This window comes from Homo sapiens, chromosome 17 (assembly GCF_000001405.40).
Source record: "Homo sapiens chromosome 17, GRCh38.p14 Primary Assembly".
In the NCBI taxonomy this organism is placed as follows: Eukaryota; Metazoa; Chordata; class Mammalia; order Primates; family Hominidae; genus Homo; species Homo sapiens.
Window position 1 is genome coordinate 10,577,803 of NC_000017.11, and position 24,079 is coordinate 10,601,881.

Sequence of the window (24,079 nt, forward strand, 5' to 3'; positions counted from 1 at the left end):
CACTAAGTGGGATAAAGAGAGATAAATATCTCTACACCACTTTCAGTCAAGTTTTGTTGTGAAAGGGAAAACTTATTTTCTTAAAAAAAAAAGATTTTGTCTTTTCAAAGCATTTTGGATTTCAGAATTGTAGATAAGGGATGGTGGACCTAGACAACACATGACAAAGTGATATAAATGCCACTGTAAAAAAGACTATGGCACTCCAGCCTGGGCAACAGAGTGGGACCCTGTCTCAAAAAAAAAACAAAAAAAAAAACAAAAACGGCCGGGCTCAGTGGCTCACGCCAGTAATCCCAACACTTTGGGAGGCCAAGGCAGGCGGATCACATGAGGTCAGGAGACCAGCCTGACCAACATGATGGAACCCCATCTCTACTAAAAATACAAAAATCAGCTTGGTGTGGTGGTGTGCGCCTGTAATCCCAGCTACTCAGGAGGCTGAGGCAGGAGAATCACTTGAACCTGGGAGGCGGAGGTTGCAGTGAGCTGAAATTGCACCACTACACTCCAGCCTGGGTGACAGAGTGAAACTCCATCTCAGAAAAAAAAAAAAAAGAAAAGAAAAAAAATAAAAGGCTATGGGCCCATAGAGAGGCAATTGGTTCGTATCTTTACCCCTTAGCTAAGCTGATTTTAGATAGGTCAAGAGGAAGTGATAAGGGAATGGAGCCAGTGGCATGGACTATTTGTATGAGAAATTTATGGTGGGGCGCGGTGGCTCACTCCTGTAATCCCAGGACTTTGGGAGGCCGAGGTGGGCGGATCACCTGAGGTCAGGAGTTCAAGACCAGCCTGACCAACATGGAGAAACCCCGTCTCTACTAAAAATACAAAATTAGCTGGGTGTGGTGGCACATGCCTGTAATCCCAGCTACTCGGGAGGCTGAGGCAGGAGAATCGCTTGAACCCAGGAGGCAGAGATTTCAGTGAGCAGAGATCGTACCATTGCACTCCAGCCTGGGCAACAAGAGTGAAACTCAGTCTAAAAAAATAAAAGAAAATAAACGTATTAAAATGTTTCAATTGCTATGTTTTTGTTAAAAGCACCAGGAATTCCAACTCAAAGAAGCTAAAACATTAAATGTGTCAGCTAATGTATCTGGAAGGATCAGAGAGAAGACTAGCATAAGGCAAGGCTTGATCTGGAAGCTCAGTGATACTATCAAGAGCTCAGATCCTTTTGGCCTCTCAGCTCTGCCCTGTAACTTATACTTTTAGGTGTACATGAGCAGGGAAAACAAAACTGAAGACCGTAGCTTAGGCCATATGCCCCATCCATCCCTGGAGGTAACAAGAGGAAAGTCACCTTCCTTGGGACTGTATAGATGCCCAAACAGAAATCTGAGGGTATTGAGAAGGGGGAAGAGGGATTGGCTGGTGCAGAGGGAAGCATTTGACAAAGACAAGGGGAGAAGCCATTGAAAGGAGGTAAGCTTTTAATGTTTGTTTTAGATAGAGAGTATATGTGTGTGTTTGAGGGCAGAAAAGTGGGGATGGGGTGAGTTGAAGTCTAGAACTCATTAGAGACGTCCTGGAGGAGGAGGGGAAGAGAAAGGATTTAGACAGAGAGAGACAGTGGGTGTGTGGCTTGGTAACTAGATTGTGGCAACTGGCTCTGGTATCCTGAACTTGAACTGCCTGATAGATGAACGGGCACACCTGGTTACTCAAGGCAGTGTCTCTTGGGGATTGCTGTGGTTACAGAGCAGTTTTTTCTGTGAGGTCAAGCCACAGCTATAGCCTCAAGCTACTTGAGAGCTAAACCTATCTGTTTAATTATTGCTAAAAGGATTTTATTGTTCACTATGCACAGGCATATAAAAATGCACTTTGAGGTTATAAGATTGGGTCCCTGAACTGACCCTTTTTTGGTTTCAAGCAGCAACCATTACAGAATTTTAACCAGATAAACTGTTAGTAAAACATATCCACAGTGATTGCCACTTCTCTGCTATCTTTATATGAAGATAGCATTTTTTAGAAGAAAAACTCTTTATTGAGTATGATATAAAATGCAAACAACTAAACATCATAAGATGACAATTTGATGAATTTTCACCAACTGAAAACAACGAGCTAATTAGCATCCACGTTGAAAACCAGCACATCGCTGCCACTCCAGTAGCTTTCTTCTACATGTTATTCTGACCATGTTTATGCTTAATCCAGTTTAGGGATAAGGCTACCAAAAGCATGTAGTCTGCCTTTGAAATAATATCATGGCAATTTTAGAGTCAACTGTTAACTTGGTTATGTCAGTATTTCACTGCTGGAAGACTGATTTCAGAAATACTTTGCTCCCAAAAAACACATCTTTAAGCAAAAATCTGAATTGCCCATAACAATAATTTTCTCCTTTTGGTACATCAGCAGAATCTGTCAAATGGAAGGGTGAATTGATGAGATGTAGAGGATATGGATCTTTATTAAGCAGCAATGAGTGAGCAAAGAAGCAAAATATTAAATAGCAAAAAACAACAAACAAACAAAACAAAAAAAGAAGTGGAGACTGTACCTTACTATTTAATTCAGGATACTAAATACATACTTTGCAAGTGATGGTTATTTGCTAATAGCTTTTTAAGGTGTTTTACTTTGTAAAGATTATTATAGAAGAAACTGTTCTTCTTACTTCATTTTATACAAATAATAATGTCAGTAGTATTTAGTCAGTGGCCCCTATTTTTTTTTTTTTTTTTTTTTTGAGACAGAGTCTTGCTCTGTCAGCCAGGCTGGAGTGCAGTGGTGCAATCTCGGCTCACTGCAACCTCTGCCTCCTGGGCTCAAGCAATTCCCCTGCCTCAGCCTCCCGAGTAGCTGGGACTACAGGCATGTGCCACCATGCCCGGCTAATTTATTGTATTTTTAGTAGAGACGGGGTCTCACCGTGTTGGCCAGGCTGGTCTCAAACTCCTGACCTCAGGTAATCCACCCACCTCGGCCTCCCAAAGTGCTGGGATTACAGGCGTGAGCCACCGCACCCGACCAACTGGCCCTATATTTTTATAGAACATTTATATATTTGTTTTTGTTATTCTAACTTGTTTCTGTTTTATTAGAATATCAGTGCAGATCTGACATCTATCAATCTACATAAATATATATATATAATTCAATCCAATAAACATATGTATATTTATGTAAATGGATCTTGAGATGGGAGTAGGGCATGTGAATTTGGAAATAGTGTTTTAAAACATCAGTGGGTAGCTATTTTATAGTTACTTGTTTTATAGTTTTTATAGTTACTTGTTTTTCTGAGGTAGGATAGAAGAAGCAGTTGAGGACTGGAATAGGAAGGAAAAGGCTGGGGAGGGAAAGTTGTAGAAAAAAGATAGGAAGCTGAGAGGTCATGGGAGCTGCTTTTGCTGAAGTTGTTCATCAAACCAGGGGCCAGATGGCCAGGCTGAGGTGGAGGGGACCCTCCTCCAATATCCCTGACTCCCTTGCCTGTGCTTGGCCTCTGCTGGGACTGAGAACTGGGAGAGTGGCTGCCATTGGCTTGCCTGCTCCCAGGCGATTCAACACTTTCCTGTTCCCTTTCCTCCAACCATACATTGGCTCCCGGGACCAGGCCGTGTGTTTATGTGTGTGTTCATTCAGTCATAACTGCACACCATCGATTCAGATCACACATATTTATCAGAAGTGTAGCCAACTTTGACGTTTGTTTGGTTGAATATCACCAGTAGCCAAAAAAGTCTGGTGAATGTCAACTTTAAAAAAAATTGTGGTAAGAGCATTTAACATGAAATCTGCCCTCTTAAATTATTTTTTCTTTATTTTTGAGACAGAGTCTCACTCTGTAACCCAGGCTGGAGTGCAGTGGCACAATCTCAGCTCACTGCAATCTCTGCCTCCCAGGTTCAAGCGATTCTCATGTCTCAGCCTCCCGAGTAGCTGGGATTACAGGTGTGCGCCACCATGCCCAGCTAATTTTTTTTAATTTTGTTTTTATTTTTAGTAGAGACAGAGTTTCACCATGTTGGTCAGGCTGGTCTGGAACTCCTGACCTCAAATGATCTGCCCACCTTGGCCTCCCAAAGTGCTAGGATTACAGATGTGAGCCACCACGCTCAACCTGCCCTCTTAAATTTTTAAGCATAAAATACAGTATTGTTAACCTTAGGCATGGTGTTGTGTAGCAGATCTCTAGAACTTACTCATTTTGTGTAACTAAATCTTTATATCCATTGAACAGCAACTCCCCATTGCCCCTTCCCTTTAGCCCTTGGCAGCCACTGTTCTACTCTCTGCTTCTATGTGTTTGACTAATTTGATTCTACGTAGAAGTGAGATCATGTAGTATTTGTCCTTCTGAGACTGGCTTCTTTCGCTTAGGATAATGTCCTCCAGGTTTATCCATGTTGTTACCTATGACTGGATTTTCTTCTTTAAGGCTGAATAATATTCCATTTTATGTAGTTACCACATTTTTCTTTGTCCATTCATTCACCAATGGACATTTAGGTTGTTTCCACTTTCTTGTTATTATCAGTAATGCTGTGGTGAGCACTGGAGTACAATTATCTCTTTGAGATCTTGATTTCAGTTCTTTTGGGTAAATACCCAGAACTGGGATTGCTAGATCATGTAATAGTTCTCTTTTTAATTTTTTGAGAAAGCTTCATATTGTTTTCCATAGTGGCTACCCATTTGTGAATGTCAACTTTTAAGTAACTCTCTGATTGTGATTTGATTGTTGTGGGTACAATTTATACTTCCCAAGAAACACCTATGCCAGCAGAAATACCTGTGCCATCCTAAGCTTTTAACTTTTGATAAGAAACGATTGAATCGTATATAACAGAGAAACTTGAATATTGAGACGATCTTGCTCTTTGGTTTTCAAAAAATTGTGTTTTTCTATCAAAGATGGTTTAAATATAGCATTTTCCCCTTCCAAATGTGGTTTATTCTCAACACTTTAGATTTATTACTTTTTGCCTTCATTTAAATTTCCATTCGGGTTAATTGAAATGTAACAGATGGTCCTTGACACTTTGACACTCTCTGTCAAAACGCATTAGTGGAAATGCAGCATTTCAAGGGGAAGTTTGTACCCACAGGAAAGGTGGGATTATACCTACAGTCTATGAAATAGAAAGACAGTCATTTGAAAGTTCAGAATGGTAAGTTATCTGCCATGCCCAGGTCAAGAGAAGTTACAAATGTGCTTCTGTTAGTGGAAAACTATGAGAGTGAATGGTGATTGGAGGCCAAGTAAATTATAGAGGGAGGAGTTAAGGCTGCAGGCTGGAGAAGCTAGAGGAGACCAGTGGCAAGAGAGGACCAGGGCAGATTTTAGATGTGAGGACACTGGTGGTGGGCCTGGAAGGCTTGGAGAGTGAAAAGTGAAGGAAGAGGAGGCAGGCAGGAGGAAATTCAAGTGAAATAAGATGAGAAGTGGCTCTTGCAATATGAGAGAGGATCTAATGATACTGTTGTATGCAGGGATGGAAGGAAAGTGAGGCCAAGGGCAGCAGGGTCAATAGAAAAGGGAGAAAAAAAAACAGTGAAATTAGTTTCCTGTAACCCCACCAGTGTCCTACCTGTCTGTAGAGTACTGGCCATCAAATAGCTCCCATGGAAAGCTAGCATGTCTCGAAAGGTAATTGGATACAGAGCATCATCTGTCAGTGTACTGACCCTCGGGAAAAGCAAGAGCTTGGTTTCCTGACTTGTGAATAAACATTTACTCTCCTAAGAAAAATTAAGGAATTCTGTCTCATCCACTTAAGTCTAAGTCAAAGAACCGAAGGGATGACCCTGCATCAAACCAAAGTGAGTCCACTTGTTTGATCAGCTTAAAGGGATATTTTCATTTGTCAAGTGTTCCAGAAATAGTACATAAGATATTGATATTGTGTATTTTTGCTATCAACTGGTAATAATTATAAACATGCCTTGTGCAGATTTCTTCTTCATCAATTTATCCAAATATAAGGGTCTTGGCCAAAGATTTAAAATATCCCAGGTGTAACATCCCTAATGTTATCTTCCTGAAAGAATGAAGTAGGTTCGGATGGAGAAGAAATACCTCAGTTTAAGAAATGAAAAGCATCTGCTAATAATGAAAGAAAATTGTACTTATTCTTCTGGGACTTCACAATGTTCCTTCTCCTACCCAGGCACGTCCTGAGCACAGAGTGCTAAGTAGAGTATTGCCCTCGGGAGGTTCACAATCAGCCTGGTGAAAGATGGCTTGTGTTGACAGACAAGCCACCTTCATCTGGAACTTGTAAATTTGAGCTGGGGACACATTTGTCACATAGCAACCTTGAAGTAAACAGGGTGATTCCTCCCCCAGAAATAGGATTTTCGTTTGCTGAGGGGGTTGGATTAGATTATCTTCCTGCCCTGGTACAGCTCTAGTCCTCTGTGGCCCATTCGTCTACCTTTTAAAAATGCCTGTGGCAAGGGATTCTCAAATCATTTTGGTGGAGGTATAGACTGAGGCAACATCATTAAGAGGGCAACTTGGGAATATCTATCAACACTCAAAATGCACAAATCATTTGGGCAAGAGTTCTACTTGTAGAAATTTAGCTTGTACACTTAGTTGCATAGGTGTACCAATATATAAACACAAGATTTATTGTAGCAATGGTTGCAATAAGAGAAAAAAAAGTGAAAAAATCCTGTATACTCATCAATGGGAGACGGATTTAAAACATTATGTATACCCATGCAATGAGCTAATAATCAATATTTAAAAGTTTGAGATAGAGCTATATATGTTCATCCATATGTGTTCTTATCCCCATGAGGGCCTATATTTTTTATCTTTTATTCCCCTCTGCATTTAAAACAGTATCTAGCACATGTAGGTGAAGTACCTAGCACATTTAAGTGAAGAAAGGAATAATGAATTAGTTTTAAAAATGAGTTTAAAGATGTCTACTATAAATGCCCAAAAGGTACTGTGTATTTCCTAAGGCATTTCGTAAGTGGATCTTGGTCTTTCCCAGTTGTGATAGCAGGGGGTATGAGTATTTTACACAGCTCTGCCTTGGGAGAGTAGATGATTTTGGTTAGTAGTGAGAAGGCTTAATCCAAAATCTTGATAACATTCTCTAGGGCTGTACAGGTGGAGATGGGGAAAGAGACACTAAATAGCCATCTGCAAATACCAGTCACTGTTCAGAGCATTTCACGAATGATGCTCATGGTTGCAGGACGCTTTGACTGTGCTTGAAAAGGGAATATGAGACAAATTGCCAGCTATCCCATTTGAAAACATTTTGGTTGATTTCTTGTTAGTTTTAACACAAACTCTTTAGCTCAGCAAAGTTCACTCCTTAAATGAGATGAAATGTTTCCAAAGCATATATTTGCAATGAACATGATGGATTTACACTTCTTCATGTCAGGGAGTGAAAAGATATAAACTTAGTGAAAAGAGGGTAATGCTTAAAATGTCCTTTTCCTTAATAAATAATGTAAGAGATTTAAAATTCCTAAAATTACCCTAATTGTTATCTGTGTGTCCATTAATTGGAAACCCCAATTTCATTCCCCTTTGCTGTTTTATTTCTTTGCCCTCATGGTTATTTTTATTTTTTATTCTGTACATTTAAATAAAGCACCGGCGGGGGGATATACTCTTACAGGATTTTGAAATTTTATAGCCTCACACTTCCAAGTTCTTTATAGAAGAAATTATAAAGCCTAATAAATATAACTACACCTGTCGGTTAAAGATACACATTACGGAAAATAAAACCGCTGCTCATTTTCCTGTGCATGTTTGTGAGAGCATTTAAGGATTTGTTTGAAAAGAACTGCTGAAAATATGGAAACTTGACATCGTCACGAAACTTGCTGAGACGCTGGGTGCTGATTTACAAGAACACGCCCTCAGCACCCTCGTTGCGGTAGATAAGCCAACTCTTGGCAGACTGTTGTAGCCACAGAAACTCATCTGACTCTGCTACAGTCTGACGTAGAAACTTAGAAGAGTATGTAGCTGCTGATTGACAGCTATAGGTCTGTAGGGACCGTAGTCTTGGTACTCTCCAGCCTTCTTATTTGGGGGGAACAGCACTGGAGGAGATTAGCCACATTAGCTAGAACCTGCTTCCATCTTTATGCCCTCATAATAGACTAAAGGAAGAATATGAAGAAATGTATTGGAAATTTGGACTTTCTCATATAAATGGAGCCAAAGCCTTATTTGTCAATTATTCTATGGAAACAATTGTTTTTTTCTACCCCTCAACACCTCCACCCCTACTTTTTAAGACTTTTTTTTTTTTTTTGAGACAGAGTCGCTCTGTTGCCCAGGCTGGAGGGCAATGGCACAACCTCGGCTCACTGCAACCTCCGCCTCCCGGTTTAAGCATTTCTCTTGCCTCAGCCTCCCACGTAGCTGGGATTACAGGCATCTGCCACCATGCCTGACTAATTTTTGTATTTTTCAGTAGAGAAGGTGTTTCACCATGTTGGCCAGGCTGGTCTCAAACTCCTGACCTCAAGTGATCCACCCGCCTCAGCCTCCCAAAGTGCTGGAATTATAGGCATGAGCGCCTGGCTCAAGACTTTCAAATCTAACACATTTTATTTTTTAATAGAATGTATTCTTTAAAAGTTTTAGATTGTAAGAAAAACAGAAGATAGTACAGAGAATTCCCATATACCCTGCATCTAGTTTATCTCTATCACCCAGGCTGGAGTTGAGTGGCACGGTCACAGCTCACTACAGCCTCAACTCCTGGGCTCAAGCAATCCTCCCGCCTCAGGCTGCTGAGGACCACAGGTGCACACCACCATGCCTTGTATTGTTTGTAGAAACGGGGTTTTGCCATGTTGTACAGGCTGGTCTCGACCTCCTGAGCTCAAGGGATCTGCCTGTCTCAGCCTCCCAAACTGCTGAGATTACAGGTGTGAGCCACCACACCAAAGAGCTGGGATTACAGGCGTGAGCCACTGTGCCTGGCTAGTTTCCCTTATTGTTAACATCTTATATGAGAATCATTCATTTGTTGCAATGCCTAAACCAATATTGATACATTATTATTAACTGAAGTTCCTAGTTTATTCTTATTTCCTTCGTTTTTACCTGATACTCATTTTCTCTTCTAGGATCTCATGAGAAGGCCACATTAGACTTAGTTGTCATCTTTCCTTAGGCATCTCCTGGCCTTGGCAGTTTCTTAGACTTTCCTTGCTTTTGACAACCTTGACAGTTTTGAGGAGTACTGCGATGGTATTTGACAGGATGCTTCTCTATTCTCTGATGTTTTTCTCAGGTCCCATGTTTTGGGGCTTGGGGACAAAGATCACAGAGGTAAAGTGCCATTTTCATCCACATGATTTGTGACTGTTAATGTTACCTTTGATCACCTGGCTGAGGTAGGTGCCAAGTTTTCCACTCTAAAGTTGCTTCTTTTCCACCTTTTCCATACTGTACTCTTCAGAAGGAAGTCACTATGGGCAGCCCACACTCTTTGTCAGGAGTTATGCTCCCCCTCCTTGAGGGCAGAATACCTACATAAATTCTTTGCAATTCTCCTGCATAGGGAATTGCCTCTTCTCCGCCATTTATTAATTTATTCAGTCATGTATTTATATCAGTATAGATTCATGAGTATTTATTTTATACTTTTGGTTATAATCCAATGCTTTTTTTTTTTTTTTTTTGCTCATATTGTTGCATATTTAGCCACTGGAGGCTCTTTTTTTTCTTATTTTTTTTGAGATGGAATCTGGCTCTGTCGCCCAGGCTGGAGTGCAGTGGTGCAATCTCAGTTCACTACAAACTCTGCCTCCTGGGTTCAAGCCATTCCCCAGCCTTGCCTCCCGAGTAGCTGGGATTACAGGTGCCCGCCACCATACCCAGCTAATTTTTGTATTTTTAGTAGACATGGGCTTCACCATGTTGGCCAGGCTGGTCTTGAACGCCTGACCTCAGGTGATCCACCTGCCTTGGACTCCCAGAGTGCTGGGATTACAGGCATGAGCCACCGTGCCCAGCCTAGAGGCTCTTTCATTTAGCTCCTGTGCTCCTTTGACATATCCCCATTATTGTGTGTGTAGGTTCTTTGTTTATTCATTTGTTTGAGTACTTTCTTACTTTCTGGCACTACGAGATGCTCCAAGCTCATCTTGTATATTTCCCTTCCCAGTCATTAATTCAGCTGTTTCTCCAAGGAAACATTATCCCTTTATTGGATAATGGCTTTAGAAGGCAATACCTGGGCTCTACGCATGCTCATTGCTACTGGAGTATCATTTCTTTTAGGCCTTTTCAGCTGACAGAGCAAAGAAATAAAAGTGTGCATACAAACCTATGTGTATACACATGTCTGTACATAACAATCTCTATATTAAGCTCAACATGAGTTCATAGTGATGAACTTTATAATCCATTACCACATGGACCATTCTAGCCTCCTCCCCTCGCTTATCTGTAAACTTCCACTTCAAGGGTGAGAAACCTGGCTCCATAGTTGGCCTTCCACTTACTTAGTTGTTCAAATCCCAATATACATGCATAGCAGTATCAGAATTATTACCCTGGACCTCCCTGGGAAACAATCGAGTAGAGTACAGTGCTCATATGCAGTTCCTTTTTCTTTTAGGTTTACAGATGCCATTTATGTCCAGAGCTACTGAGGTCAGCACCTTTTCTCCCCATCTCCTTCAGTAAGATTGTTTCATAAATTTGTCATATAGTTACATTCTCTTATCATAGTCTGCATTCCTTACTGGGATCCCTTGACCTCCTAAATCATTCTTAAAGTCTGCATATATTAAGGTTCATTCTTTGTGCTATAAGTTCTGTGGGTTGTGACAAATACATAATTTCATTTATTTACCATTACAGTATCAGACAAACAGTTTCACTGGTCTGAAAATCCCCTCATTCACCTATACATTCTACTCCTTCTTCCTGAGCCTCTGGCAGCCACTGATTTTTTTAATCTTTCTATACTTTTGGCTCTTATAGAATGTCATATAATTCAAATTATATGGTATGTATCCTTTTTAGACTGGTTTCTTTCGCTTGCAATATGCATTTAATGTTCCTCCATGCTTTTTCCATGACACAATAGCTCATTTATTTTTATCACTCAATAATGCTCCATTGTATGCATGTACCACACTTTGTTTATCCATTTAATTACTAAGGGATATCTTGACCGCTTTCAGTTTTTAGTGATTTCCTAAAGCTGTTATCAACATTCACGTGCAGGTTTTTGTGTGGACATAAGTTTTCAAATCGATTGGATTGGTCAATTCTTTTATGACGTGAAACTCAAAGGGAAAAGTGGATCTTTTTCATCTAAACCTGGTAGGAGAGGATAAATCACTTTCCAGTGGTTTGTGATTCCTTTATAATTATATAAAACTAATTCTTTTCATTTCTATCCAACTTATTTATTTATTTATTTATTTATTTTGAGATGGAATCTTGCGCTGTCGCCAGGCTGGAGTGCAGTGGTGCGATCTCGGCTCACTGCAACCTCCACCTCCCGGGTTCAAGCCATTCTCCTGCCTCAGCCTCCCGAGTAGCTGGGACTACAGGCGCCACCACCATGCCCGGCTAATTTTGTGTATCTTTAGTAGAGACGGGGTTTCACTGTGTTAGCCAGGATGGCCACCATCTCCTGACCTTGTGATCCACCCGCCTCAGCCTCCCAAAGTGCTGGGATCACAGACATGAGCCACGGTGCCCGGCCTCTATTCAGCTTCTTAAAATTATCATGTTATCAACATTTATCCTCTTCTTCTGCCACTACCACCCTTAGTTTTAACTATAAGCAGCTGTACTAAGACATTCAGCACCTGTTTAGGAACTAAGAAGTTTTCCGTAATATCTATTTGAGCATGAGTACCCTGAGCATGATTGACATAATGATGTACAAAGTGGGCCTTTTCTAGCTACTCACTGAGCAAAACCTGCTGTCGCAAGAAGCATCAATGGGGAATTCTCCAGCGGAATTGCAATGAACTATTCTGGATTCCCAGTTTAAGGGACGGAGGTCGGAGTTCTGCTAACATTCCAAGCTCGACTTTGTCAGTGTTCTCTCTAGTTCTCTTCTTGCTAGTCCCTTAGATAGTGCTTTCATCATGCCGACACTCAGGGCTCTCTCTGATAGTAGGCTCCCATTGTCACTGGGGAGCGAGAGTTGAAATTCTTCACATTAGTTGAATTATGCTATTTGCTGAATGCTGTGTACTGGAGAAGGGAGATCTAGGGCCATCAGGTTCATCTAGAGAATTTTTCTTTGCCCAAAGGCAGGAGCCAAATGTAACAAGATGCTAAGAATTCAAGAAGAAGAATCATCATATAAGATGAGGGGCTGGGTGCAGTGACTCACCCCTGTAATTGCAGCACTCTGAGAGGCCGAGGCAGGAGAATTGCTTGAACCCAGAAGTTTGGGTTCAAGCTTGAGCAACGTGGTGAAACTCTGTCTCTATGAAAAATACAAAAAAATTAGCCAGGTGTGGTGGCACGCACCTGTGATCCCAGCTACTTGGGAGGCTGAGGCGAGAGGATCGCTTGAGCCCAGGAGGTTGAGGCTGCAGTGAGCTGTGGTTGCACCACTGCACTCCAGCCTGGGTGACAGAGTGAGACCCTGTCTCAAACAAAAACAACAAAAGAATCCAAAACCAGGCACTTCCAAACCAGGGAGCATAGGTTGTTTTACAAACTCACTGCCCTTTTCTTTTCCAATATCCCTACTATTTGTTTTGCTGGTGGTTATGGTGATGGGAAAGGATGTAATTGAGAATGGAACATGAAATAAGAACTTGGTCATAACCTGTATAAAACTGTGTCAAAGTTTACTCCTTAAATGTGTACTTGAAACACCCATTTCTTGTTTCCAGGGTGCCAACAGATGTCGTTTTGTAAGAAAAGCTCCCCAAAATTCTGTGCATCGGACTCATTTATGCAATCTCTGCCTACATTGGGACCCCACTGAAGCCACGACCCCTAAGGCAGGGCTGGACTGCCTTGCAGGTCTATGAAGTTCTCCATTCCAAATCTCTCTCAATTGTGATTTGCATTCTACATTTATAGGCAGATAATTAGCTACATTGCAATGTCTAATATCTTTCATATATATATATATTTTTGTTTTTTTGTTTTTTTTGAAATGGAGTCTCACTCTATTTTCCAGGCTGGAGTGCAGTGGCAGGATCTAGGCTCACTGCAAGCTCCGCCTCCCGGGTTCACACCATTCTCCTGCCTCAGCCTCCCGAGTAGCTGGGACTGCAGGTGCCCGCCACCACGCTCGGCTAATTTTTGTATTTTTAGTAGAGGCGGGGTTTCACCGTGTTAGCCAGGATGGTCTCAGCCTCCTGACCTCGTGATCTGCCTGCCTCGGCCTCCCAAAGTGCTGGGATTACAGGCATGAGCCACTGCACCTGGCCTCACATATATATTTATACAGATATTTCAGTGCCCCTTCGGAGGCTTATGTCCTGAGGTACATGTTTGGCAAATATCAACATTCTATAGGAAATTTCAACTGGACCTATTTACAGATTAAATAAGACATTAACCTAAAAACAGAATCACCAATTGACATTTATTTATTTATTTATTTATTGAGATGGAGTTTCGCTCTTGCTGCCCCAGGCTGGAGTGCAGTGGCACAATCTCAGCTCACTGCAACGTCCACCTCCCAAGTTCAAGCGATTCTCCTGCCTCAGCCTCCCAAGTAGCTGGGATTACAGGTGCCTGCCACCACGCCCGGCTAATTTTTGTATTTTCAGTAGAGATGGGGTTTTGCCATGTTGGCCAGGCTGGCCTCGAATGCCTGACCTCAGGTGATCCACCTGCCTTGGCCTCCCAAAGTGCTGAGATTACAGGCGTGAGCCACCGTGCCCAGCCCACCAATTGACTTTTGAAATAAGTGTTGGTATTATGAACTATTCATACATGCCAAAGAACATATATAGAATATATGTGTTGTTTAAATCATAATAACATAAACACGTGGTATCCTCCAGCTAGTTTAAGAAACACCCAGCAAAGGTATTTGCCCTCAAAGAGTCCTGTGTGCCCCTTCCTGCTATCCTTTCCAAGTTTTTCTCCCCTTACAGCTGAGGTCTTTCAGAATGTAGAAGGACCTCATACGCTTCACACTGGGACCTACAGAGGCTACCCAACTCTCCAAGGTGACCCAGAGACATAGAATGGTACCTGTTTCTACTAATTCCTGCTCCAGTGAGTTTTTCACTACATCAAATTTTTGACATTTATTTTGAACAAGGAATATTTTTCAAGTCAAAATAGGTACCTAATGGGCTGGGTGCAGTGGCTCACGCCTGTAATCCCGCACTTTGGGAGGCTGAGGTGAGCAGCTCACCTGAGGTCAGGGGTTTGAGACCAGCCTGGCCAACATGGTAAAACCTTGTCTCTAGTTAAAAATACAAAAATTGGCCGGGAGTGGTGGTGGGCACCTGTAATCCCAGCTACCCAGGAGGGTGAGGCAGGAGAATTGCTTGAACCTGGGAGATGGAGGTTACAGTGAGCTGAGATCGTAACACTGCACTCCAGCCTGGGTGACAGAGTGAGACTCTGTCTCAAAACAAATAAAAATAAAAAGTAGCTAATGATTATTATCTATAAACATCCTCTATTCGTTTTCAGCTCATATAAATGTTTCTTTTTTCTAGATCCTCAAAGGAGCAAAGGCTCAAGATTTCTATCTCATCACATAAAGAAAAAAATGAGGGAATGGAAGGGATTTATAAATACCAGAGACTATAACTCTGTGACTATAAAACAGTGACAAATTCTGACAAAGTGCTACTTAGAATCCTCTACGATCGGGTGGTACTCAGAGGTCCATGGGCCAGCAGCATCAGCACCAGCTGGGAGTTTATTAGAAATGCAGAATTTTGGGCCATGCCACAGGCTACTAAATCAAAATCTGCATTTAACAAGATCCCCAGGTGATTCATATCACAATATAGCATGCTTCCTAGTCCGATGTCCAAGATTCATAGTTAAATTTTCACTTAATTCACATTTAAGGCAGAGAAAATTATTTTTAAAACTCTGGGAATTTCTCATAAGAAAATAAGAATAGTGTTTTCTAGAATGGTTTTATCTCCTAACATATTGTTTCTTATGTACGCACTATTAATGCATCCTTTTAAGTGAGTAATCAGTTGTGGTATCTTTATCACTTAGACATTTGATGCTGTCCTAAGGTAAATACCAGTGTGGGAAAAAAAAACCACAGTCTTATCTCTTACTTCTGCTGGTCTAGAGGTGGGATCAGTAGCATGCATGTGAAGTTTCAGATTGCGCTAAATGAACTCATGTCAACTTCTTTCAGCATCATTGTTAGTGACAGTTTTGAGGACATGGTGATAAAATAAGGAAATCTATTGAGTCAGCAGTGCAAAGTGAAATGCAGAAAGTGCAACAGAAAGTGTGAATCCGGAAAGTTAATTCCTGTGTACGTGTGTTTTGATTGCCATTCATATGTCAAACCCTGAACTATAAGTCCTGAGTTACATGAATAATAACCTCTCAGCAAATTGACTAGAAGTAACAATTGAAATATATTTCAATATATTTTAAACGCATGTTGAACAAGAAGCCCTGGAAGAGGAAGATCAAAACTACTTTGTTTACTCTGCCTCTTCCAGGGCTTCTCAACTTTGATACTATTGACAAGTTGTAGGAGGTGGACCTGTGCGTTGTAGGATGTTAGTAGCATCCCTGGCCTTTCCTCTCAGTGGCACCCCCTTCCCCTGAGATGTGACAATCAAACATATCTACAGACATTGCAGAATGTCCCCTGGAGGGGCAGGGGGGTGGAATTGCCCCCAAGTTGAGAATTTCTGCCCTAGGCAGTGCCTATCATGGCCCCTGCCTCCCATCCTGGCAATACAGTCACTCTTCCTGGTGACCCAACAGCAGAACCAATGTCATTGTCCTCCTTTCCAGAGCTCTGTGCTCCAAAGGTGGGGTGTGCTCCTACCCATGTCACTTCACCCTCATCATGCTTATCATCCACCTTTCTTAATCATAACCTTCATCATTATGTGAAACTGGGGACAAATGATCTCTTTCAAATGACTGGCATATAGAGTTGATCCTCATCCTTTGAGGATTTCATATTTGTGAATTCATCTAGTTGCCAGAATTTATTCATAACCTCCAAATCAATACTTGCACACTTCTGTGATCATCTGAGGACATGTGCAAGATGGAGAAGAATTTGAGTGAACAAACCTGCATGTTCTCAGCTTAGGTCAAACAAGGTGGCATTTGGCCTTCTTGTTTTGGCTCTCATGGTATAAACACGTGTCCTTTTTGTGGTCTATTTAGTACTACTTTTTTTTTTTTTTTTTGCATTTTTGTGCATTTTGTTGGTGACTTACAAATGGCTCCCAAGTGTAGTGCTGAAGCTCTGCCCAGTGTCCCTAAGTGCAAGAAGGCTGTGATGTGTCTTGTGGAGGAAATACATATGTTAGACAAGCTACATTCAGGCATGGGTTACAGTGCTATTGGCCACGAGTTCAATGTTAATAAATAAACAATATATAACTGTCTTTAAATAATCAGGTGTCTTTAAATAGAAACACACATGAAACAAAGTTATGTATTGGTCAGGTGATGAAAATGTGACCAGAGGCTCACAGGAACCGAACCCTGTATTTCCCCTAGGAGCAATGGCTCTGTATTCACTAATTCAGCATCCACAGTAATTTTATAGAACTACTGCAAATAATGATAATTGACTGTATTCATGTGGGAAAGCCCACTTGAAGGATATATAAAAAGCTGGTAACACCAGTGACTCCAAAAAACAGAATTAGGTGGCTGAGGGACGGGGTGGGAGGGGACTCTTTACTATAATTCCTTTTTTGTTTTGGGCTACACAAGTGTAGCCATCAAAAAATTAAACTTAAAAAACAAATGCAAATAATAAAATGAAAAAAAAACAATTTAATCATGTTTGTCTTTAATCTCAGGAAAACAAAGTAACGCCTATCAAAAATCCAATGTATCAAATGACACCCAAATGCCCTCCCTGGTCTTCTAGACCTTCCACAAGCTGTTCTCATGCTCTGTCTGCTCAGCTCTGCTTCTCACCACCCGCTTCATGAGTGTATCTGGTTATCCCTCTGGATTACCCCTTGCCCTGCAAAGTACTCAGTAACTCAGTTACTTTGGTGTTGATTACTTCACATGTCTCAACAGAAACACCTTTCTTCTCTCTACCTAGCAACATTCTGCTTTTTCTTCAAAATCTTTAAATATTTTCCTGACCATCCCACTCTAAGGGACCTTTCTCTTCGGCTTGCTGGAACTCATTAGAGTTTGTTATAACTTACCATTGTAGCCAACTGACTTTGTTGGTTGTGTTTAAGTTTTGAGTCTCCCTAAATTCATTACAAGTTATTGAGGATGGGATTGGTGTCCTTCTTGGAACTCCTTCAGAGCCTTGCATGTAATAGAAACTCAATAATGTTGATTAATTATCCTTTATCATTCCATACCACAGTTTTTTTTTGGAGATGGAGTCTCACTCTGTTGCCCAGGCTGGAGTGCAGTGGCACAATCTCAGCTCACTGCAATCTCCGCCTCCTGGGTTCAAGCGATTCTCCTGCCTCAGCCTCCTGAGTAGCTGGGACTACCGGTGCCCACCACCACACCTGGCTAATTTTTGTATTTTTAGTAGAGACAGGGTTTCCCCATATTGGCCAGGCTGGTCTCGAACTCCTGACCTTGTGATCTGCCCGCTTTGGCCTCCCAAAGTGCTGGGATTACATGTATGAGCCCATCATGCCCAGCCTGCAGCCTGTCTTTCTAAGTGTATTCCTGTCCAGTTAGGTAAAAGTGAAGCTGCCTAGGTAATTAAGTTTTAAGAGTAGTATGAAGATGTTGGTTGGAGACCTGAAAAAGACATGCAATTGCTCTTCAAAATGAGCGAAAGTAGAATTGTGCCATTTGTGAGGAGGCGATCCAGAAACCAGATTTTTATCTCAAACGAGTCACAAAATGGGAAGGGATCCAAGTGTCGATTTGTTGAATTCCTGCTGGGCTACACACTGTCTGTAGCACCTAGTATACCTCATTTTATTTACATGAGCCTATCAGGTAGCTTTAATGAATTCCATTTTATAGGTGAACAAATGGAAGTTTAGTCACTAGCATATGTGTTATGCAGCTGGTAATTGCAGAATCGGGATAAGAGGCCAGGTCTAAAGGCCTATCATGTTGGGTTGTCCCCAAACAGAACACATAATAAACATTTTGAACAAATATAAGTTATTTGCTGTAAATTCACAGGATTACACCTCTGGGTAAAATACAGGGCAAGAATGTTTTGAGATGGCCCCAGCCAAGCATTGTACATCTATGATATGCTGCAAGGGAGGAGGAAACAGAACGAAGAACTTTGCCCTCCTTCAAGGCAACTAGTATCAGCTAGTGATAGTTCTCAGTCCTAGCTGAACATTGGTTCCACCTGGGGAGCTTAAAAAACTATGGAAGGCTTTGGAAGGCTGAGGCAGGGGGATTACCGGAGGTCAGGAGTTCGAGACCAGCCTGGCCACATGGTGAAATCCTGTCTCTACTAAAAATACAAAATTAGCCGGGCATGGTGGTGGATGCCTATAATCCTAGCTACTTGGGAGGCTGAGGCAGGAGAATCACTTGGATCCGGGAGGCAGAGGTTGCAGTGAGCCGAGATTGTGCTATTGCACTCCAGCCTGGGTGACAGAGTGAGACTCCATCTCAAAAACAAACAAACAAACAAACAAACTATGGACGGGAAGGGCATTGGACATAATTAGTTTTGGGTGGGACTCAGGTACCAGTACCATTATAAAGCTTTCCAGGTGATTCTAATGTGCAACCAGGGTTGAGAACCACTGAGCTAAAACCACAGAGAGGTACACGGATCAAGTGGTTTCTTTAGTTCAGTGGTTTTTAAGTCTGGTTCTTGGACCACCAGCATTAGTATCACTTGGGAACATAATAGAAATGAAAACTCATGCACTTCACCCAAGACTCACTGAATCAGAAACCCTGAAGGTGGGGCCCAGAAACTCTATCTTAAACTCTCTGGATGATTTTGTTGTACAGTAAGGTTTGAGAACCACTGCTCTCAGAACAGGCAATTCATTGAAAAGGAAAAACAAATAGCCAATAAACATATGCAAAGATGTTCAACCACTTTTAGGGAAATACAATGGAAAGTAACAATGAGGGCCAGTGCGGTGGCTCATGCCTGTAATCCCAGCACTTTGGGAGGCCGAGGCATGTGGATCACCTGAGGTCGGGAGTTCGAGACCAGCCTGACCAACATGGTGAAACCCCATCTCTACTAAAAATACAAAAAATTAGCCAGGCATGGTGGCGGGCTCCTGTAGTCTCAGCTACTTGGGAGGCTGAGGCAGGAGAATGGTTTGAACCTGGGAGGCAGAGCTTGCAGTGAGCTGAGATAGCACCACTGCACTCCAGCCTGGGCAACAGAGGGAGACTCCATCTCAAAAAAAAAAAAAAAAAAAAAATTAGCCAGGCATGGTGGTGCATGCCTGTAATCCCAGCTACTCAGGAGGCTGAGGCAGGAGAATCGCTTGAACCTGGGAGGTGGAGGTTGCAGTGAGCTGAGGTCTTGCCACTGTACTCCATCTTAGGCGACAGAGTGAGACTCTGTCTCAAAAAAAAAAAAAAGTAACAATGAGATACACTTTTTAATCTTTCAGACTGGCAAAACTTGAAATGATCGATAATATCCAGTGTGACAGTAGGAGACAGGAAAACATTTTATATACGACTAGTGGAGGGGTAAACCACCACCACTATAACAACCTTAGAGAGAATTTGTCAGTTGAATTACAGATTACACATATGTATATCCCAGGACCAGGCAATTCCCTCCTTGGCCTCCCTGCTAAAGAAACACTTATACCACCCATAATCCCAAGACTTTGGGAGATTGAGGCGGGCAGATCACTTGAGGTCAGGAGTTCCAGATCAGCCTGGCCAACATGGTGAAACCCTGTCTCTACCAAAAAATACAGAAATTAGCCAAGTGTGGTGGCACGCACCTATAGTCCCAGCTACTTGGGATGCTGAAGTGGGAGAATTGCTTGAACTCGGCAGGCAGTGGTTGCAGTGAGCCGAGATTGTGCCATTGCACTCCAACCTAGACCACAGAGTAAGATGCTATCTCAAAAACAACAGCAAAACAAACAAAAACCACATGCACGCACACACTTGTACTAGTGCATAAAATGATGAATAAAAGATATTCATATGCATCATGCTGTTTTTGCAGTGGGAAACAGCCCAAGTGTCCATCACTAGAGGAATGCCTGAGTATACTGAGGCCAGCCTTACTATAGAGTCCAAGCAGCAAGTGACAAGGATGAGGTGGCTCTACATGTGCACGTGTAGAACTGCCCCCAAGACCTTGTGAAATGCAAAGGCAAGTTGCACACACATGGATCAAATACAATTTATGGTCTACGTGAAATGTGGTGGGGGAAACATCCGGAATGGAGGTGTGGACAAAGAGACTTCAGCCTTATCTATAATTTTAAAATTTCTGCTAAGATTATTATCCAAGAATTTTTTGAGCAATAAAAAATAATTTTGGGGTGTGAAAAAAATTTCTGTGGAAATAATATACTAGATTGATGATATATTATGGTATACTTAATAATTTTTGGTCATGAAGCTCTGAGAATCTGACAAAAGTTTCCCCTCCCCCACAAAGGCACAATATGTTTGTTCAATTTGAAGGAATTTCTAGATAACCTGAAGCCCATTCATAGACCCCTTAGGGCTTCCTGACCCCAGGTTGAGAGCTTCTGGGCTGCTCAGCCTTCAAGGGTTCTAAGTGGTTTTACTCTTCTGTCCTGGGCTCCATGACCCCTTCTTTGTCGTATGTGTCTCAGAGGAGTCATAACATCTGACAGCTATTTTTATGAGCATCAGCAGCTCTTCTCCTGCAGATTAAATTTCACCAGAAGGTAGATTTTCGCTGACATCTTAATACTTGGAAAGGAGCAGATGATCCTTGAGGAGTGAGTGAATATAGCATATGGTTTGCTGAGCTGCAAACAGAAGCTGATCTATGTCAAGGAAGCTTCAAGTGTTACACATGTGCTCTTAGGCATCATCAGGTTCTGTTTTTAAGTTCTGCAGTGTCATTCTCCCCATGCACACAGACCCTTTTCAGTGTTTTCCACTTGGCTTATATATTAAAAGAAGAAGAAAATAGCAAGAAAAGATTATCTTTCCACTGTTAGATTTTTAATCGATATTCTGTTATTCCAAAATGGTGGCAGAACAAAGGTTTTTATTTGCCTTATTTTCGTCTACTTTAAACTGTCTTAAATGGCAAAGCCAGTTCTCATAAAAGTGAAACTCCTTGGTAATCTACTTTTTATTAAGTCCCAGAGCTGCCAATAGATTTATGGTTCTTAGGTAGTAAGTCTGATTAAATGTGATGTGCCTGCCATTTCCATGGATGCCTTGCACACACTGTCGACCTCATCTCTCTGTGCCCACCCAGGACCTCATTGCTGCTCACCCTGTAGCAGGTTTGAGAGAGCTCTGGACAAGTTGACTACAGGTGGATTTATTTCTCCTTTCTCTAGCCTCCCATGGATGCACTTACATTCTAAGTAGGAAAAGACAGGTCTAAATATTATATGTTATCTGAGAAATTTGGATGGTCATTCCTTTAAAAAAAAACACCATGGATTTTATTCAGTAGGGATGCAACTGGATATTCTTGAGTCTTTTCCCATCTGGAATAATAATTTCTGCAGCTGGCATTGAAGCCTGCCCCTTCATGAGCTGGTCCAACCTCTCTTTACAGGTTCATCTCTCATTGCTTTCTCCCATAAACTATTGCTCCCAGCCACACTGGCATCCTTTCCCTTATGAAAATCCCTTTCTTCTTCTGAGTCTTTACTCATGCTCTGCTAACTTGCCCTCATATGGCCCCTACCAGTTCATTTATTTTATTCGCTATCATCCAGATCCAAATCTAGATTTTTCAGAAATTTCTGACATTTCTGAAAAATCTAGATTTTCATTCGCAAGTCAACCCCATCAACAGTGCTGAGTCTCCTTTGCATGTTTGCAAAACCTTGTCTGTTGTGCTCATAAGGTACTTCTCTATGAAAGGTGGTATTGTACCTGCCCTCAGTATATGTATGTTGAGCACTTACTATATTCCAGGCATTCTTCTGGTTCCGGTGATATGAACAAGTTTTGTTCTCATGGAGCTTGTCTTCAAATATGTGAGGCAGGTCAAATAAGTACTGTACACAAATTCAATGATTCCAAAGAGTGAAGAAAATGAAGCAAGATGATGTGATAAAGCGACTAAGGAGGAGAGAGGCTGCTCAGTGAAGATCTCTTGAGAAGAACACATTTGACTTGAAATGTGTATGATAGAAGGTGTCAGTCATGCAAAAATGAGGGGAAAGAGCCTTCCAGGTAGAAGGAACAGCAAGTGCAGAGGCCCTGGGGTAGGAAGGAGCTTGGCATGTGGGTGATCATAGGTTTCCTAGATGGCAAAGGATTTTTTTAAAAGATGTCTGTATTTCTCTTACATCATCTAGCACATAATAAAGCAATCAGCTGCAAGACTCTTAGCTCCATAAGGATAGCTTTCATGCCTGTCTTCCTTCCATGACCCAGCCCAGTAATAGCACTTATAGGCACTCAAATTGATGAATGTGTGGATGGATTTTCACTGAGTAACTGAATGCCTTATCTCTGATCCGACAGCAGTTTTGCAGCAGAACCAGAATGGACAAAATAACTCCATCATCTCCTACATGCTAGTCTGTGCTGAGCCAGCTTCTCTCAAATATCTGTCTCCAAGGTTTGGTGTCACCATTCATTGAATGAAGTAAGAACAGGGCACTTCCCTTCCGGAGGAACGTTGTACAGTTAAGTGCAATCGCATATAGGAAATGGTTGGAACTTTTGGAAGCAGCTCAGTAATTTCAGACAATTCCTACAGCATGGCTCAGCAGGCAGGAAGCCAGAAGTCATTGTATATTAAACTTTACCCATGCAACAGTGGGAATGCAGTGTGACCAGTCCCTGTCCTCGCCACTGTGGGATTTCCAAGGCTGGCACCTCTTTTAAGCTTTTGGAATGTAGATAAAGCATTCCATCATGTTAGCGGGCCCTCTTTTACCTCTCCTGCTGCCGAGTTTATTGTTGTACTAATTCCAGGGCTCCCATCTGGCTCTTCTCTTGCATTCTCCCATGGAGAAGCCTGTGTTAAACTCATTCAAAGTAATCCCTACTGGCATGGTGTTTTTAGCGTATGGAAGAGACTGTCCATTCATAGAAGCAATAATGTGGTAAGATCACTTTTCAAGAGTATCAGTTTTAATAAAGAATAGAATCAAAAGGTTTCTTAAAGTCATGAACCTCCACAAAACATCCCCACCTCCTCAAAACAAAAAAGAGAGTTGAAACTTCATGCCTACTTTGGTTTTCAGTGGCAACGAAAGAAGCTTAAAACTACTGTAGGCCGAGCATGGTGGCTCACGCCTGCAATCCCAGTACTTTGGAAGGCCAAGGCAGGTTGATCACCTGAGGTCAGGAGTTTGAGGCCAGCTTGGCCAACATGGCAAAATCCCATCTCTACTAAAAATTCAAAAATTAGCTGGGCGTAGTGACAGGTGCCTGTAATCCCAGCTGCTCAGGAGGATGAGGCAGGAGAATCGCTTGAACTCAAGAGGCGGAGGTTGCAGTGAGCCAAGATCCTGCCATTGCACTCCAGCCTGGGCAACAAGAGCAAAACTCCATCTCAAAACAAAAAACAAAAAAAACTACTTTTTTTTTTGAAATGTTTACATTTTTGAAATGTTTAATTTCTTCTTTCAGTGTTATGGCAGTGGATTAGAATATGGAATTATTAAAGAGTAAAGATTGGGACCGCCGTGTTCAAATAGAGAAACTGAGGCCAATATGGAAAAAGCACTGCGATGCTCTCCTTCCAATGAAACCAAGACAAACCAGTTCACCCTACGAAGAGGCCAAATTTTTCCTAAACAGCAAAAAGTAGATGCTTTGCAAGTGATAGTTCCTAAAAAGGATCCTCATTCT

At 41.8% G+C, this 24,079-nt stretch overlaps 1 long non-coding RNA gene across 1 annotated transcript in view; it reads left to right on the top strand.

Moving 5' to 3' along the window:
* The window catches only part of MYHAS (myosin heavy chain gene cluster antisense RNA), a 242,409-nt gene that overhangs the window by 194,671 nt on the left and 23,659 nt on the right, over positions 1-24,079 (top strand). The window contains exons 4-6 of the long non-coding RNA NR_125367.1: positions 10,587-10,621; positions 12,841-12,973; positions 20,271-20,420. This is a non-coding gene — a long non-coding RNA (myosin heavy chain gene cluster antisense RNA). The remainder of the gene's footprint in view (positions 1-10,586; positions 10,622-12,840; positions 12,974-20,270; positions 20,421-24,079) is intronic.